Here is a 16,612-nt window from a genome sequence, read left to right on the forward strand (position 1 = left end):
ATGTACAGTAGTTTAAATTTTTGATCATATTCTAAAGTCATAAAATATAAATGAATACATTTGCTATATTCACTATCCGATTACATATTTGCTTGGTTTTTGACATCCATTCAAGGCCCCTACTAGTCTTCAGGAAGTATTTTTATAAGCTTCCAAGTCATTCAGTTGTTTGCAGCTCTCTTGGTTTGGCCATGTTGAGTGTGGGGCACTTGTAAGGCACTGGTTTCTGTTACAAACGGGTCAATGAGCCATATGAAGTGATAGTGAAGCCTCGTTTTTAATTAATAGGTCAGAACTAAAGTTATTTTAAAATGATTTTCTATAAAAATGGAAATCAGACATGTAATCTAAGAGCATGTTATTAGAGCAGAAAAGAAACTCAGGGATCCTTAGATATCTATTGTGCAATAGAGCTGTGGTAGGGTATGTGCATATGGAAGAGGACAAGGAAGTGCTTGACATGAGATTCAAGGAGATAAAATCAGACATTCCATAGTTGTAAAGGGATAACTGACACATTCTGAGCTGCTTGGGGGAGAAGCGAAGTAACATTTGTTGAGGAGATAGGCACCCCTCTCAAGCAGTCAGGGATATTGGACCATATCTCTTAGCCAACAGTTATAGTGTATGAGGACAAAAGAATTTAATTTCACTGGAGAGGTTGCTTTTAGAGGACATTTAATTGGCATACAAAGTGGTTGATATGCTGAATACTGCTGCAGGCAGATGGGAAACTTTGGCTTGCTAGAGTCATGGTCATTCTATATAAAAGTGGCATTTCCATTAAAATGGAATCCCCTGAAAATGGAGTTTTAGTGCACTCTTACAATATTTTTGACAATCAATATCCATTTGAGTGTCTACCTATGCTTGCTTTTCTGAGAAGAATGTAAACCATGCTCCAATAGCCCCTGAGAAGCCGAGATATTCTGAAGATAGTTAAGATTTTAGACATACCTTCTGGATCAATTGCACTGTGCACGTTGTGTGAGCAGAGCTTAAATATGTGGATGTGCCTCTCTGTGAATAGAGTGCCCTTCTCTTCTGTGAGTAAGACTAGAATCTTCTTTATGACCAAGAGGGTGGCCTCTGGATTCTGACAGCCCCAGCGGTTACTGTGTTTTTGTACCACTGACTAATTGTGTGGTGTTGAGCATGTTAACCTCCCTGTGTCTCATGTATCTCAGTTTCCTCATCCGCAAAATGAGGATGGTATACCACTTCAGAGTTTTTGTGAGGATTAAATAAGATAGTACTCATAAAAGTCCTGGAACAGTGGCTGGCATAAACAAGGAATCAACAGATAGGAACTATTAGTGTTATTGTTGTTCTTCTGCACAAGTCTATTCTTGTAATAACTGCTTTCACCTTCAAGGCACTTTTCCCAACATATACCAGCAATGTATGTTTCTACATAATAGAATAAATACATTAGTTCCCTAAAGGTGTTTGGTCCTTGATTTTCCTTCATGAAATGAAAAGACAAATGATCTCTTCAGGTTAAGTTTGTCAGATTTTGATATGCCCAAATGGGTCAAATAAAGAAATTTATCTATTAATATAAAGACCAGGAGTTATTTTCCATGTGATGCCTGGGACTCACACTGTGAGATCCAGATGCAGTTGGTCCAATGTATGCCCTGAGCCTGGAGATTTATAAAATCTTCTCTGGATGATTCTGATAGGCAGCCAAAATTGTGAACCAAGTGATAGAAGAAATATTTAGAAACATTTCCAATTTAAAGTTATTATTTTAAATTTCAGATCATTATTAATTTGTGAATTACATTTTTAAATTGACCAACTTAGTGTCTCTGTCTCAAAGGTCATATCTGAGTCTATAGAAGAAAATTTGTAAAGGATATCTAATGAAATTAACTTAATCTGTTACTAGAAAGACTTTAGACTTCAGCAACCATGAAATTTTGCTATGTTTTTACAGAGTAAAGAGGACCCAAAAGCTATAAAGAGATTTACATATCGCTTTATCAGGGTGTCAGTCATCTTATCTGTTAAATGTGAGCAGTCATTAGTAGTTTACAGAAGCCTTTTTTGATAACTATCATATGTAACCTTTACACTAACCATGCAGAGAAGACATAAAGTTAATTTTCATGTTCAAAGAAGGAAACTGAGGCTTTAAATGTAAAGCAATTTATTAATGAACAAGAAACTTGTAAGTGAAAGTGACAGAGCCTGTCCCAGATCATCTGAATCTGGATGCCATCTTTTTTGGACACACTGTAAAATTCCTTAAAGCTTTCTACCTGGGAACAAAAGAATCTGTTTCTTTGACTGGCATCAGGTTAGGTTTCTAGTAGGTTTTTACCACTCCTAAGTGTATTAAATTATCTTTGCAGCTTGAGTATTTGGTATTTGTTAGAGAGATGACAACGTCTTCTTGAGTGTTTGGTAGGCCAGTCAAAATAATTTTGTCCAAAGCCTAAGCCACACACTTTTTTTCAAAAAAGCAAATATGTTTTCCTTATGACATTTGCATTGTCCATTGCTTATTTATGTACAGAAAGGTTATTTGTGTTCAGTTGGAGGATGCAGTGACTTAAAAACCTCTGACCTTAAGGAGGGAAAAGTCTAATGGGAGACTTAGAGAATCCTGGTTAAATCATTAGAAGAAAACAAAATTGAGCCCTCTTAATGAGCACAGTATATCATAGGACCAGGAATATCCATACAGTGGAATATTATTTAACTATAAAAAGAAACGAAGTACTGACCCATGCTACAGTGTGGATGTACATTGAAAATAGTATGCTCAGTGAAAGAGGCCATGCACAAAAAACCACATGTTGCATAATTCCATGTATATGAAGTATCTAGAAGTGGCAAATTCATTCAGAGAGAAAGTAGATTAGTAGTTGCTTAGGGCTGGGCTGGATGGTAGGATTGCAGGACAGGATGATACCTAAAAGTGTACAGAGCCTCTTTTTGAGTTGATGAAAATATTCTAACATTAATATCATGGTGATGCTTTCAAGACTCTGTGAATATGCTAAAAACCACTGAATTGTACACTTTAAATGGGTGAAATTGTAGCTATATTAGTTATATCTCAATCAAGCTGTTATTAATGAAAAGAGAGGACTAGAAAAGAAGCAAAGCAGGGGATACAGAAACAAGTTAGGAGGGATGGCTCTTGGGAGGTCTGCCTGACTTAATTGGAGGAGGCTTAGACAGGCTTTGCAGATGGGCTGAATCTTTGCTTCCATTTTCAGAAATGGAGGGGATGAGGTAGTCCCAAGATGCTCCTACATTGAAATATTAAGCCTGTTTCTGCCAGGACCTCTGGACTATTGATGTCTACATAATTTTACAAACCACAGATTTAAAGGAAAATCAAAAACAAATTGGAATGATCAGATGGGCAGCTGTCTAGAGCTAAAAACTTGTGTGTTTCTCACCTTTTCATTCTCTTCTTGATTATTTTTCATGAGAGACAGTGTTTGCAGGGAGATAGTTCATTTGCTGAAGAGAGTGGTGGTATGCTGAGTTCCTCATGAGTCCTGACATTAAATATGGCTGAGGAGGTTCTACTGGTTTTAGAAATTCCTTTCCAAGGCCACTTACCTTCTATTCTTTTGCACACCTCCAGATCCAAGGTTCTTGTGTTTTTACTCTATATGTGTAAAATAATGATGGCCTGTTTTGAGCTGCTTTTATAGTTTTGAATTTAGCACTTTACATAATGTGGGTTAAGTTTGAAGGTATTGGATAGCAGAGATTTTCTTTTCTTAACAAAAAGAAGTTATGTAGAGATTAGATCAGTGTCAAATTCAAAATAGGACTCGGTATAGAAAAAGTATCACCTGACACTCTGGAACATATAACATGGATAAATATCTACACATGTTATAGAAGGCAGGGATTCATTCAGAAGAACCACAGGAAGTGAGTGATAGCTTATGTTTGTCCTTTGAGTGGATTAAATATGTATTTTTATGCTTTTGCAAAGATATTAGCCAAATAAAGGTGTTTACTGTAGTTGGACTGGAAAACAAGTGAGGCTGAATTATTTACCTTCATGTACACCATTACTACAGTAAATCATATATTAGCAGTATTTTAAAACAAATTTATCATTTTAAAATATCAATTTTTTATTCCCCAAGTGGCTTTGTAAAATAACCAAATTAGGTAAACAATGAGTATTAGCTTCATGAAATATATGAACCAAATGGACTGAAACTGGTTTTTACTCTCCCTCGCCCAGCCTCTTCCCCACAGATGCAGTTAATTTTTATAATCCCTTTAGGGTCTGTACATTTTGATATAAGGAAACTAGTGGTTTATCTATACTCGAATCTAAATTAAATCCCTAAAGTTTTTCCCTACTGCCAATTTCTAATAAAATGCAGTCCTAAGGAAAGGTGACCAATGGAGTGCATGTGAAACTCATCTTCATTCTGAAGTGTGATGGAAACACAGGAGGCAGAAGGGACAAACCATGTTGCTTGGGAATGTGAAAGCCTGAGTTCCAGCCTCCTAGTTCTCTGACAAACCCGCTGTGAGGCCCATTACCTTACCTTAGTTCTATTTCCTCATCTGTAAAATGAGGGCACTGCAACTAGATGATTGCTAAACTCTCTTCCTGTTATAAACAGTCTCTGTTGTAAAAGACTAGCCTGCATTGTCAGCCTGTGTGGGCTACCACTGTGCGCTAATGAAGACGGCATAATTGAACTTTCTAGATCTCACGGAATCTACATGTGCCCTGCATTTTATTGTCCCACCAATGAACCTGAGGCTTTTAATGAGCAAAATGAGAGTTATCTACATACAAGATAAGGTTCAAGTGTCTGAGAGAAGGAGAAGGCTAGGAGAAGATACTACATGTACTTGAAGATGGAAGAAACAGATTCAGATCTTCCTTTGCCACTAGCTTGATGACGGCTTGAGACAGCTCCCTCTGTTCATTTTTGGAGGGCCTTAGTTTCCTCTTTTGTAAATGAGGGCAGTTCCTCTGTTTGTGGTGGCTAGGGAAGCACACAGGTGGGTGAAATCACAGCTAATATAAAAATCCTGGGCTGGGTGCAGTGGCTCATGCCTGTAATCCCAGCACTTTGGGAGGCCGAGACGGGTGGATCACCTGAGGTCAGGAGTTGGAGACCAGCCTGGTCAACATGGCAAAACCCTACCTCTACTAAAAATACAAAAAATTAGCCAGGCGTGGTGGCTGGTGCCTGTAATCCCAGCTACTTGGGAGGCTGAGGCAGGAGAATCGCTTGAACCTGGGAGGTGGATGTTGCAGTGAGCTGAGATTGCGCCATTGCACTCCAGCCTGGTCGACAAGAGGGAAAACTCCGTCAAAAAAAAAAAAAAAAAAAAAAAAGAAAAGAAAAAAAATCCTATGATAGAGAGAAGCTTCTCACCATCATGCCTTACACCAAGGTGATTAACAAAGTAGTTAAATGGAACTTGTTCTTCTTTCTGACCTTTTCCAGTCAGCTAGCGTGGATATCAATGAAATAGCGATTCCAAAAAGGTAACCTGGAGAGAGAGAAACCTAAGGCCTTTGGTTAATTCATAGTAAATTTGGTTTTGAGTGGTCAGTTTTTATATTATCATAATGTGACCAATTTTATTATATCCAGGAGAAAAAAGTTGGAAAAATATCCTAACTTGCTAAGAGTGATGAATCCTTGAGTTGAGATTTTTGGCTTAACTTCTCAGTATGAACATGGGTTTTCATGCTGATTGATAGGATCAATTCATCCTGTCTTCATCACAGAATAAACTTGAATTGTTCATACCGATGATATGATGATTAATTCAGGTTTTTGGCTTGAGCATTTCTTTGTGGGCTATGGAGCTCTTTTTCCTTTGGAAAGCAGGCCTGGGTGTGTAAAGATGTATCAAATTATCAGGGGACAGACATATACTTTCCTGCAGCCTCTGCAGGGCTCACAGGTTCAAACACAACCTGCCTGAATCATAAGAAATTTAATTGAGTAGATAAAGAGGTCCTCATAATTATAAACTGCAGTAGGTATAACAAGAGGCTAAATACATAGCTGTGGTTTTAATTAGCTGGTGCTTCAAATTAGTAATGTTGGTTTCAGTCAGAAATCAGTGACGTTATAGACTGAAAGCCTCATCACCATGTAGTTCATTACTCATTAGACCTCACTGTGTGAAGCCTTCAATACAACGCCATGCTGAGCAAGAAAGGAAAAAGTTGGAGATATTTGGTTGCCTTCCAAGAGCAGTGGAGCTCTGTGGAGATTAAATTCATTCTCGCCAGAGATATGAGAATTAACTGTTCTTTGTCGGATGTGTTAAAAAATGCAGCAGGCAGTTTTGCTTGCAACAGATAACACCCGCATGCACACTCAATCTGCTATTCAAATTTGTGTCTGGAATTTGGTAGCTAATGAACTGATGCAAAATGCAGCCAAGAGCCTCCTAACAAATCAAAGCCAGGGCTAAAGCACCGAAAGTGCCCTTACTGCTGATCGTTTGAAAGGTTGTCATGCAAGCTGAAGCACGTTTCCTTTTCTTCTCCTTCTCCTTTCTTTTTCCTTCAGGGTTTTAATTATATCTTTCCCTCGGAGAAGGAAGGTAGTTTGCAAAGCCAAGAGACCAAAGCACTTCAGTTCTCTTCATGGGAGAATTAAATGTGATCTATGGGCCTGTCATTCTTAGCTGTCAGGTGCACAAAATGAACAGATAGCTAGAAAACTGACATCCTGCTCGCATTACTCAGAAGGAAAAGACTTTGGTTCTTGTTTGTGTGTAGATACTAATCTGCTATGGAAAGCAAAGAAATTAAGTGTCCTTCTCCTTTGCAACAACCCTGCCCTCACTAAATATTGCTTTAACTTGTTACTCTACCCCCACCCCCATAACACCCAATCTTTCTTACATTTGGATAAATTGATGGGATTGGATTACACACAGCCAATTTATGGTGTTGAGGTACGGTCACAAGCGCCACACTTAACGGACTGAAGATGTTACTGTGCCTGATTGTTTCCATGTCAGTCTCAAACATGGAGACATTGAGACACACAACAATTGTTTGGGGTTCTGAGTTCAACTTGTGAATGGAAATGAAAGATGATGCTAGAAAATCTAATACCTATGGAGGGCATCTGAGACTACAAATAATAGCCTGGCTTCCAGTATCTGGACTTGATATCTTCCTTGACCAGGCAAGGCCTAGATATGGGGCCCTGGCTTTGGGTAGGACTCTGAAGGTTTTCTTTGCTTTACTCAGACAGTGATAACATTTGCTGAATATACTCATGAATGGTCCAGTGAGCTTTAATGTATCTGACGTTTGTATTATGAAAGTGTAATGTGCATTTAAACATCCTATAAATGTTGTTGCTGTTTTTTAATGGAGAAATGAGTGTTCTTTATCCAGGAGATAAAGTTATCAAAGTCACTTTGAATTTGACCATTCAAGGATTCCTGTGAAGAAAAGTGGATGATTAAGTGTAGTGGCATTGTACACTCCATGTTTATCAACATCTAGTTAAGCTGCACAGATAGTTTATGTTCTAGGTTCTTTGAGCAAACTAGCCTACCAATGACAGGTATTAAGGTTTCGGATATAGTCAAAGCCTGTCAACTGTAGTTTTATATCAGTAGATCTCTTATAATTCCTTTAGCTATTATGTTCATTTGCATGTCAATTATCTAATTAAGTCTTAACATGGGACTATTAACATGGGGAAGGAAACCAACATTTATCCAACACCTGCTAGGCATTTTATGTACATTTATGTAATTTAAATTTGCTCAGTGTATATATACTCACTTTGGGTAAGGTTAACATCAAAAGCATGAAAAAAGCCCAGTGAATAAAATAAGATACACCACTACGAGACTTAGATTATGGCTTAATTTGCAGTCTTGCATGATGAAGAAAATAATTGTTTTCTTAATAAGGAAGCATTCCATTCCATAAAACCAGAAGGCCTGGAATATATCTTAAATATTGTTTAGAAGCTTTTGATCCTCCAATGGGAAAGCCTGAAATGTGATGAGAGTCACAGTTAGTCTTTATAAAACATTTGTTCGTTGAGGTCATTAAAGGCTTTTGACACCTCCTTTTTTTCATCCACAGTTAGTCATTTGTTATTCAAGTCAGACCCCTTTTTTTGTGAAGAGTTTCTCAAAAAGGCTTCCATTCACTTTTGAAGAAAACTGTGAGAAGACCAACACCACAACAACCAAACACAAAGAAGTGTAGGTGATTTGGTGATTTATTTTTTTGTGGACTTCTGAAAATGCCCTTAAATTCTCCTGTGAGTTCATCAAAACAAGCTCACTTTGGCTATGGGCTCAGGACAGAAATCCAATTTATCTTCAGCTCCGTACTTTGATAATTCCTTTCCCTTAGGACTTTGTGACATCTGTGGATTCTGAGCCCTAGGTAGTTGGCAACACAATGTAACTTTAATTCAGTACCTTTCTGCACTGTGGGCTGACTTTTGGGGAGTATGTAATTGCTTATAATAATCAAAAAAGGACAAGGGAAGAGATTTTGCTTTACTTGCTTGTCATGAATATCATTTCAAATAAGCAAGTTTTTGTTTTCTTCTTTATTCTGAAGAGCTGGTCAGGATCTTAAACTCAATAGGTGTAATGAAAAGGATTATCTGTTCTCTATGCAGTGTCAACTTGGGCAGCAAGTTGACTTGAATTTTTTTCTTATTATTGACAGCAAGGAAAATTTAAATGACTTGCATGATTAATTAATCTTTTTCTCTTTTTGTCTTTTCCTTTTCATATCAGTCACTATGAACAAGACCGTAGTGCACTTAAAAAAAGGGAATGGGAGCGGAGGAATCAAGAAGTCCAGCAAGAAGACGATCTCTTTTCTTCAGGCTTTGATCTTTTTGGGGAGCCATACAAGGTAGCTGAATATGTATGTAATTTTTCTTTCTGGAAAATGGTTGCTTGTTACATTTTTGAACTCACTAATCAACATTTAATTTATGTTTAAAGCACCCAACTCATTTCCAGGGGAATATATTTTACAAGTGAAATTTGTACATACACTGTATTTGAGGCAACTGCAAGTTTCTGACGAAGTCTTCAGAAACAAATTTCATCTTCTTTTGGGAGCACAGTATGATTGAAGAGAGACTTGTGAGACTTCCTGTCTCCAATGAGCCCCTCTCTGCCCAACACTTCCTACAGCAAGGAATGCCCCCTTGACACTTTCTACTGCTGTGATTGTCAGTAGGCAGCTCCTGAAGACTTCATCAGAATGTCAATGGAGATGTCTGTTTCTTTTCCCAATCAGTGTCATCCATTGCAAGGCCACTGTTTTTCTTTTCCATTTTAGGTTGTTAGCAGCTCTTCAGTGGTTTGAGTGCTCTTTGAAAATCATTGTTCTAGAATAAAGGAAAAAAGCCAATCATTTTTCCTGGTGGTTAATAATCATGGGTTAGAAGATTGTCTCAACCAGAGGGGGGTAGTATAGCTAGGTTGAATTTCTAGTGGTATTCTGACTAGTGTGTAGCTCCAATAATCATCAAACTGCTGTGTCTACAAGTATTGATTTTACAATGACTGCTTCTGAACTTTCTATTTGGGGTAGAGATGAGAGGCGACTGGGAAGAGATTATGATGGAAGAATCTTATTGAATTGCTGGCAGCTGGTTGGTTTTTATTGAAATGCAGTAGCAGTGTAATTTTCTGTAATAAAAATGATGTAAGAAGTACAACAATAGAGAAAATTTTCAAGAGCTGTGATTTTAGAAGAGTACCCTTTAAGGGACAGTGACTTCTGGAAAAGGAAAGTTCTTAAGGAAGACAGCATAGGCCCAAATACTACTTTGGGGTAGAGAGTAAGCTATTTGGATTGGTGACTGGTGAGACCAGGTTCTTGTTACCTTGTTCAAAGCAAGTAAGCAACTCTTGATTGAGACACTGCAGGAACTTTCAAGTTTGGTAAGCCTGATGAAGAAACTTAGGTCACCTAAGCTACTGGTTTTCAATCTGTCAGTAATAGTATGATCCCTAAAAAAGCAGTGTTCCCATATCAACAGGTTAATTTGTATACTACTTTGAAGGTATATATTTAGATATATAATTGGTTTAACAAACATTTATGAAGGTCTACTATGTGCTAGTCACTGCCTTACACCAGTGTACAAAGAGGAATAGCATAGTCTCTGTTTTCAAGGAGTTCCTAGTCGAGTGGCAGAGATCATTTGACACAGTGATGGCATGCCTGCATGGTAACAGAGAGATAGCAAGGGACAGATCAGCGAAGACTTTGTATTCAAACTCATTATAAAGAGCTTGCACATAATTTTTTACATGATGAAAAAAATCATTACAAATATTTAAGTCATAGTATGGCCAGGAAAAATGAACAGTTTAGAATGATGATGTTGGGCAGTGTGGACAGTGGGTCAGAGGGAGGGGAAACTAAGGAAAGATAAAGAAGCTATTGTAATTGATGAGGGGAGCTTATGTCAGGAATGATTTAAGGTAGAGTAAGGAAGTTGAAATTATGGAATTGGGTATCTAATTGCATGTGGGGAGTATGGAATAAGAATTAATGGTTCCCAAGTTTTTTATTTGAGAGGGTGGTGGTATCATGAACAAGTTTTGTTCAGGAGGAGAACATGGTTGCTGCTTGTAGAGAAAAAACAATTAATTTAGTTTTGAGTGCGTTGGCTTTGAGATGCTAGAGAGATATCAGGAGAGAGCTATCCAGAAGGCTTGGATATATGGGTCTGAAACTCATGGGAGTGGTCAAGGGAGAAGTTTAGCTGTTATTGTCTTATAGGTATCAGTGGAAGCTGTGAGAATGCCTACCATCACTGAAGAGATTATGGAGTAAAAAAGAGGACAAACAATTCTTGGGAGTAGCACCATTTAAGGGGTAAAAGAGGTGGTGAAAGCAGAGGCCAGGAAAGGAAACTCCAAAGGAATGATCAGAGTGATAGGAAGAGAACTAGGAAAGAAAATTTAATAGAAACCTAGGGAACAAAGGAAGGATTTGCTGTGCCTCAGAGAGGTCAGGAAAGGTAAGAACTTTAAAGTGGCTGTTTGGATTTGGCAGTTAAGGAGTAATTGGTGACCTTATGGAGAGTTGTTTTATTTGTTGATGACAATGGTCATTGTGGGATGCCAAACTGCCAGGGGTTGGAGAATAAATGGGAAGTGGTTAAGTAAAGAAAGCGAGACAGTCAATGTAGATATGATCTTGAAGAAATGTTTTGCATGGAGGAAAAAAGAAAGAAAGATAAGTTAGAAAGTAAAGGGAGGAATTATATAAAGGGAAGCTTTTTAGAAAAATGAGATAAACGTGAACATGTTTAGAGATTGATGGGAAGCAAATAACTTCAATGGTGAATGAGAAGGTGGAAGATACAGGAGAGAAAGGTGAGGCTAAGTTGAGCAAGGTCCCGGAGGAGATTAAAAATAATACAAGATGGAGAGCAGTTGAGGAATCATGAGCTATAGGGTAGAAGGTGGGAACAGAACATTAGAATGAGAACAAAGCAGGCGAGGGGAAGGAAGATTGGGGAAGTGCAAGAAATCAGGGCCTCCATTTTCTGCAGAAAATGGAGGAGAGGTCAAAGCACGGTAAGTGTCTTATCCTTTCTCAAGCTGAAGAAGGAATAAGGAGATAAGTTTTACATGTTATCTTTGGATGGGTTAGAAAAATGAGCTTTACTCAAAAGGTTTATTCTTAAAATCCAATGTCCACACTATCCTCAACATTATAATGAGGTGGAGAACTCTTGATTTATTCTCCCTTCATAATTTTAAGTCACGATGAATTGATGGTCTTGTACCTTTAAGGTAAATGCCATCTTTTCACAAGGCCTGTTATATAGATCCATTTTTTAAATGTTAGCAGTGTCTTTTTGAGTAGGCAGTTGAAAAAAATCTGTTATCAACATTTTCAGAAGTTTTGAAAGCCATCTGTCTTGATATTACAAGGGTACATCAAGTAGAGACATAGATGGGAACATTTAGTATAGTGTGGGGCAGGGCCTATTGTGTGATTAGTAGCTTGTTACCTTTGTGCTTCCTGATGGGGAAAAACCTTGTCCTTTTTTTTTTTTTTTCTGAGATGGAGTCTCGCTCTATCGCCCAGTCTAGAGTGCAGTGCGACTTACTGCAGCCTCTGCCTCCCATGTTCAAGTGATTCTCCTGCCTCAGCCTCCCAAGTATCTGGAATTACAGGTGTGCACCACCATGTCCGACTAATTTTTGTATTCTTAGTAGAGATGGGGTTTCACCATGTTGGCAAGGCTGGTCTCAAACTCCTGGCCTCAGGTGATTGCCCACCTTGACCTCCCAAAGTGCTGGGATTACAGGCGTGAGCCACTGCGCCTGGCCAAAACCTTTGTTCTTAAGTCAAAACTGTGAAGGAAAAGAATAATGCTAGTGATTGGTGACCTAATAATTATTTTTCTTTCACCCTTGCTTTGATGATTGGTTGTTATCTTGAGCTGCATCCACATTCAGGGTTCCCTGGGAGAACACTGAGGAGTAACAGAGTACTAGAACTGATGTTGCACCTCCATAAGGCTCCCCAGACCAAGACTGGGCTTGATATCCTTGGAGTATCTGGACATGCCAGTGGTCATGGGAGTCCTAGAGCTGGCCCATGGTCCACTGGTAGAAACGAGGACATACCACAGCTCTTCCCTAAGATAGCAGTGGGAGTGCTTATCAAATTTAGAATAAACATTCCTGATGGTGGGTCAAGACTTTCAGGAAAGTTCTTGCTACCCTGAAGCCTAAAACAAGGTCCAGTCACCTGTCCAATAGCGCCAGTGGTTCATAAATTAGCCAACATGAACACTGATCTCTAGGACCTATTATCCTTTCTTGGCAGAAAGATAAATGGTGATCTCTCATGTTCCTGGCTAATTTCTTTCCCTTCTTTTCTTTGCCTCTACCACTGCCAGAATGGAGAGAATGTTGACCACCCCTAGATTTGGTTGGTAATAGGGAACTTCTCTCTTGGGCTGCTTTTGTAGCATATGATTTTCAAATTGGAGTTTGTGTTATGCTTTTGAGAAGGATGTCTTCAAATGTGCCTGAAAAATATGAAGCCATTTGACTTGTCTAGGTTAGTGCACTAAGTTTGGTAAGGAACTGGCATGTAACAAGTGCATGCCAGCTTACTGTCTGCTAGGCACTGTGCTAGAGTTTTATGTGTATGCTCATTTAGTCCTTATAACAATGTGTGTGTTCATTTAGTCCTTATAACAACTGGGGTATGCAACTTTCCCATGTTTTCCATGAGGAATTTTTTTTTTTTTTTTTTTTTTTTGAGACGGAGTCTCGCTCTGTCGCCCAGGCTGGAGTGCAGTGGCGGGATCTCGGCTCACTGCAAGCTCCGCCTCCCGGGTTCACGCCATTCTCCTGCCTCAGCCTCCCAAGTAGCTGGGACTACAGGCGCCCGCCACTACGCCCGGCTAATTTTTTGTATTTTTTAGTAGAGACGGGGTTTCACCGTTTTAGCCGGGATGGTCTCGATCTCCTGACCTCGTGATCCGCCCGCCTCGGCCTCCCAAAGTGCTGGGATTACAGGCGTGAGCCACCGCGCCCGGCCGAGGAATTTTAACTCAGAGAAGCGAGATGGCTTCTTTGCATTTTCATATCCTTATACATGGCGAATTTAGACCTTGCATCCAGTTCTGTATGATTCCGTATCTGTAACAGGAAGTTATTTATCCTCTGACAGGATGTCAGAATACTTGATAAGCTTACCTGCTGGGTGATGGTGGAGAAGAAACTCCCTTTCTCTGATCCATAGGTTTTCTTTTTCCTTTCTGGATTGAATCATAGTAATTAATAAGAATAGTAATATTTTATGGCTCTTCATAGCCCAATGAGAATGAGGAAACTGAGGTGCACAGAGGATTATTAAATGGCTTACCCAAGGTCATTTGTGTTGGGACACATAGAGGTAGAGGCCAGATGGAGGCCAGAGCTACTCTGCTGACTCACATGGTTGTTTTAAGGATCACATGAAATAACCTGGGAAACCTTGCTTTGAAATCTGTAAGGTGCTACACAAATTCAGGTATTATCTTTATTATAATTAGAGTAAAGAAGGAAATAGAAACTTAGAGCTTAGAGAGATTAACTGCAAAAATACTAGAATTAGAAAAAGACAAATTACTAAATCACATGTTAGCCACAATAAAATAAAAGAAAAAAATGCGCTTCAAAACTTGAATTATTTTGCTACTTGTATTAAAAAGAAATACTATGGTACAATAGCCTCCTAGCACATTAGTCTTGCATGCAATGAAATTATACTACTGATTTGTAGATAGCATTAGAAACAAACTGAGGGAAGTTTGCATTTCCTGAAGTAATGAGAGGCAAAAAAACTTAAATGAGGGAATGCTGTTAGTCATGAGCCACAAACCAGACATGTAATTTATGCCTGAAAATACTTGGAAAATGCATTTCCTGATGATAGAGAAATTGTGATTGCTTAGAAAATAATGGCTGCAGAGGTTACCTTTAAAGAATCAACCAATTATCTAGACCAGGAAGTAAATAATTAGCCAAATTGAAAGAAGCATATAATTGATTGAAATGGCTGAATTTCATTTTTGTCATGTTTATAATGTTCAATCAAGATTACCAAGAATATTTTGTTCCTTAATAGGATTACTAAGACTCTGGAGGGTGAAAAAGAACATTTAGTATGAATCAGAAGTTGCTATGGTGTATAATGAGAGTACATTGTGTAGGTGTGTATAAATGTATTTCAGGCCCCATTGGGTTTTCTATCCAGTGGTTCTCATATCTCCATCTTGAGAAATTTAAAAGCTGATTGACAGTTACCCACCTCCAGTGGTGGGAAGGTAGAGTGCTTACTCTGGCGACCTGGACTGGACTACTAATTATGTGCTGATTGTTGAATGGTGAACTTCTTGAGGCTCTGTGTCCATGTGTCCTCTGTGCGTAACCCTGCCTCAGGAGGGTCTCAAATTTACCAGTGTCTGTCTTAAGAACTACTACAATAATTCCTACTTGTAGCCACAGAACATCTGTTATGCAAACCATATGGATCTTCCTTCAATCAGCAACTCAGAAAGCATCACCAGTGAACTCAACCTTGAACTGTGTGCTATACATTTCCTGTCACACGTCCTTCCTTCTGAGACAATTGCTCTATGAGGAAACTAGTCTAAGGGAGATGACATCCCTCTATTTCTCCAGGTTATCACAGCTTCACTCCTGTGTCATTACTGTGCAAGAAAGCTGCACGCCTGGATTGTATTAGCCTAGACCTCTAAGTCCACATGCAGGCAGGCTTTCACTGAGTTAGTCATCATAAGAAAAAGCCACATGAAGACATATTTGCATCATTTTGGAAAATGAGGCCCCAAAAAGTGTTACATTGCTCAAGTGTTCTTGTAAAAATATCAGTGAGAGGAATTCCTTTTCACATTTTATTATCAGACAACATTTGTCTCATTTAATGAATTAGGATATGCTTCTTTCGATGAAAGATAATTCTATAACCTACGAGCTTTTCCTTTTTGCCTTAGCTACCAGGAAACTCAAAGTTCAATTTAATGTTCAATCATAGTAACGAAGTTAGCCTGATTTTTGCCTTCTATTATGTACCTTTGACTTCAGCCATTGCAAATTCTTTATTTTGATATAGACAGGGTATGAATTTTAATTTATCCTGTTCAATTCTGTAAAAATGTATTGAGTATTTGATTAGCACAAGACATGGTGCTACATCTTGGGTATATAAAAATAAGTGAAATGTAGTCTCTGACCTTTAAGAACTCATGGTTTTATTCAAGGAAAGATATCATAAGTGTAGTATACACTGTGTAGTAGAAGGTTGATTTTCCAGACTTATTGAGAGAAATTTCAATTTTCCTCTAATTTTGTTCACATAGACACAGTGTTAGACATTGGCCAGTTTAGAAATTCTTTTAATTTCAAGTATATTTTTAAAACCTAGATATGGAAAACTATATCTAAGCTTGCTTCAGAAACCCAGATCATTATAAGTAAATGTCAATGAAGAGACATTACAAAGTAGGCAAGGTTCTCCCTACTGAGGACAAGATGAACCTCTTTTATTTACTCCTGAAACAAGAACAGGAATTTGACTAGCTTGCTTGTAAGCAAATGAGCTTTCACATTCTTGAGTCCTGATTGTGTTTCCCTAAGGAGACTACAATGACTTTTCAGGGCATGGAGGTATTACAGTGGTCTCTATGACACCTAGGGAGAAGGTTCTGATTTTGCAGAGCTCTGTTTCTGTGAAAGCCAGATAATGAAATGAAGGCATTCCAATGGGAAGTGAAATGGTGTTGTTTTCCCTTGTTGAGTCAGATCATTGAATATGGCCAGATATCACTGTTCATGAGGCAAACATCTGACCCAAGAGGTAATCTGTTTGACAGGCCAAAACAACCTACAAATGTTTAAAGCTTGCATCAGATTCTTGTTGGACCCTCAGCACAATGAAATTTCTTTGTTTTAAATTTAGAGATTGAACAGGGAGCCTGGTTTTGGCTACTGTCCATGTGGTTCATTGTGCAACTCAGTTGAAGGAGACCACTATATACAAAGAGTTTATTCTTGTCTGGGCTAAAAAGTAATTCCTGCCATTAAA

At 38.5% G+C, this 16,612-nt stretch overlaps 1 protein-coding gene across 5 annotated transcripts in view; it reads left to right on the forward strand.

Moving 5' to 3' along the window:
* AFF2 (ALF transcription elongation factor 2) overlaps positions 1 to 16,612 on the forward strand; it is a 500,047-nt gene that overhangs the window by 142,622 nt on the left and 340,813 nt on the right. For 3 of the 5 annotated variants that reach the window (NM_001169123.2, NM_001169122.2, NM_001169125.2), the window contains exon 2: positions 8,761 to 8,881. In NM_001169123.2, the coding sequence (NP_001162594.1) occupies positions 8,761 to 8,881 (121 nt within the window). Of the gene's footprint in view, positions 1 to 8,760; positions 8,894 to 16,612 lie in introns of all 5 variants that reach the window. The other 2 variants (NM_002025.4, NM_001169124.2) reach the window with 1 other exon arrangement.

The sequence above is a fragment of the Homo sapiens genome, chromosome X (assembly GCF_000001405.40).
Source record: "Homo sapiens chromosome X, GRCh38.p14 Primary Assembly".
NCBI lineage: Eukaryota > Metazoa > Chordata > Mammalia > Primates > Hominidae > Homo > Homo sapiens.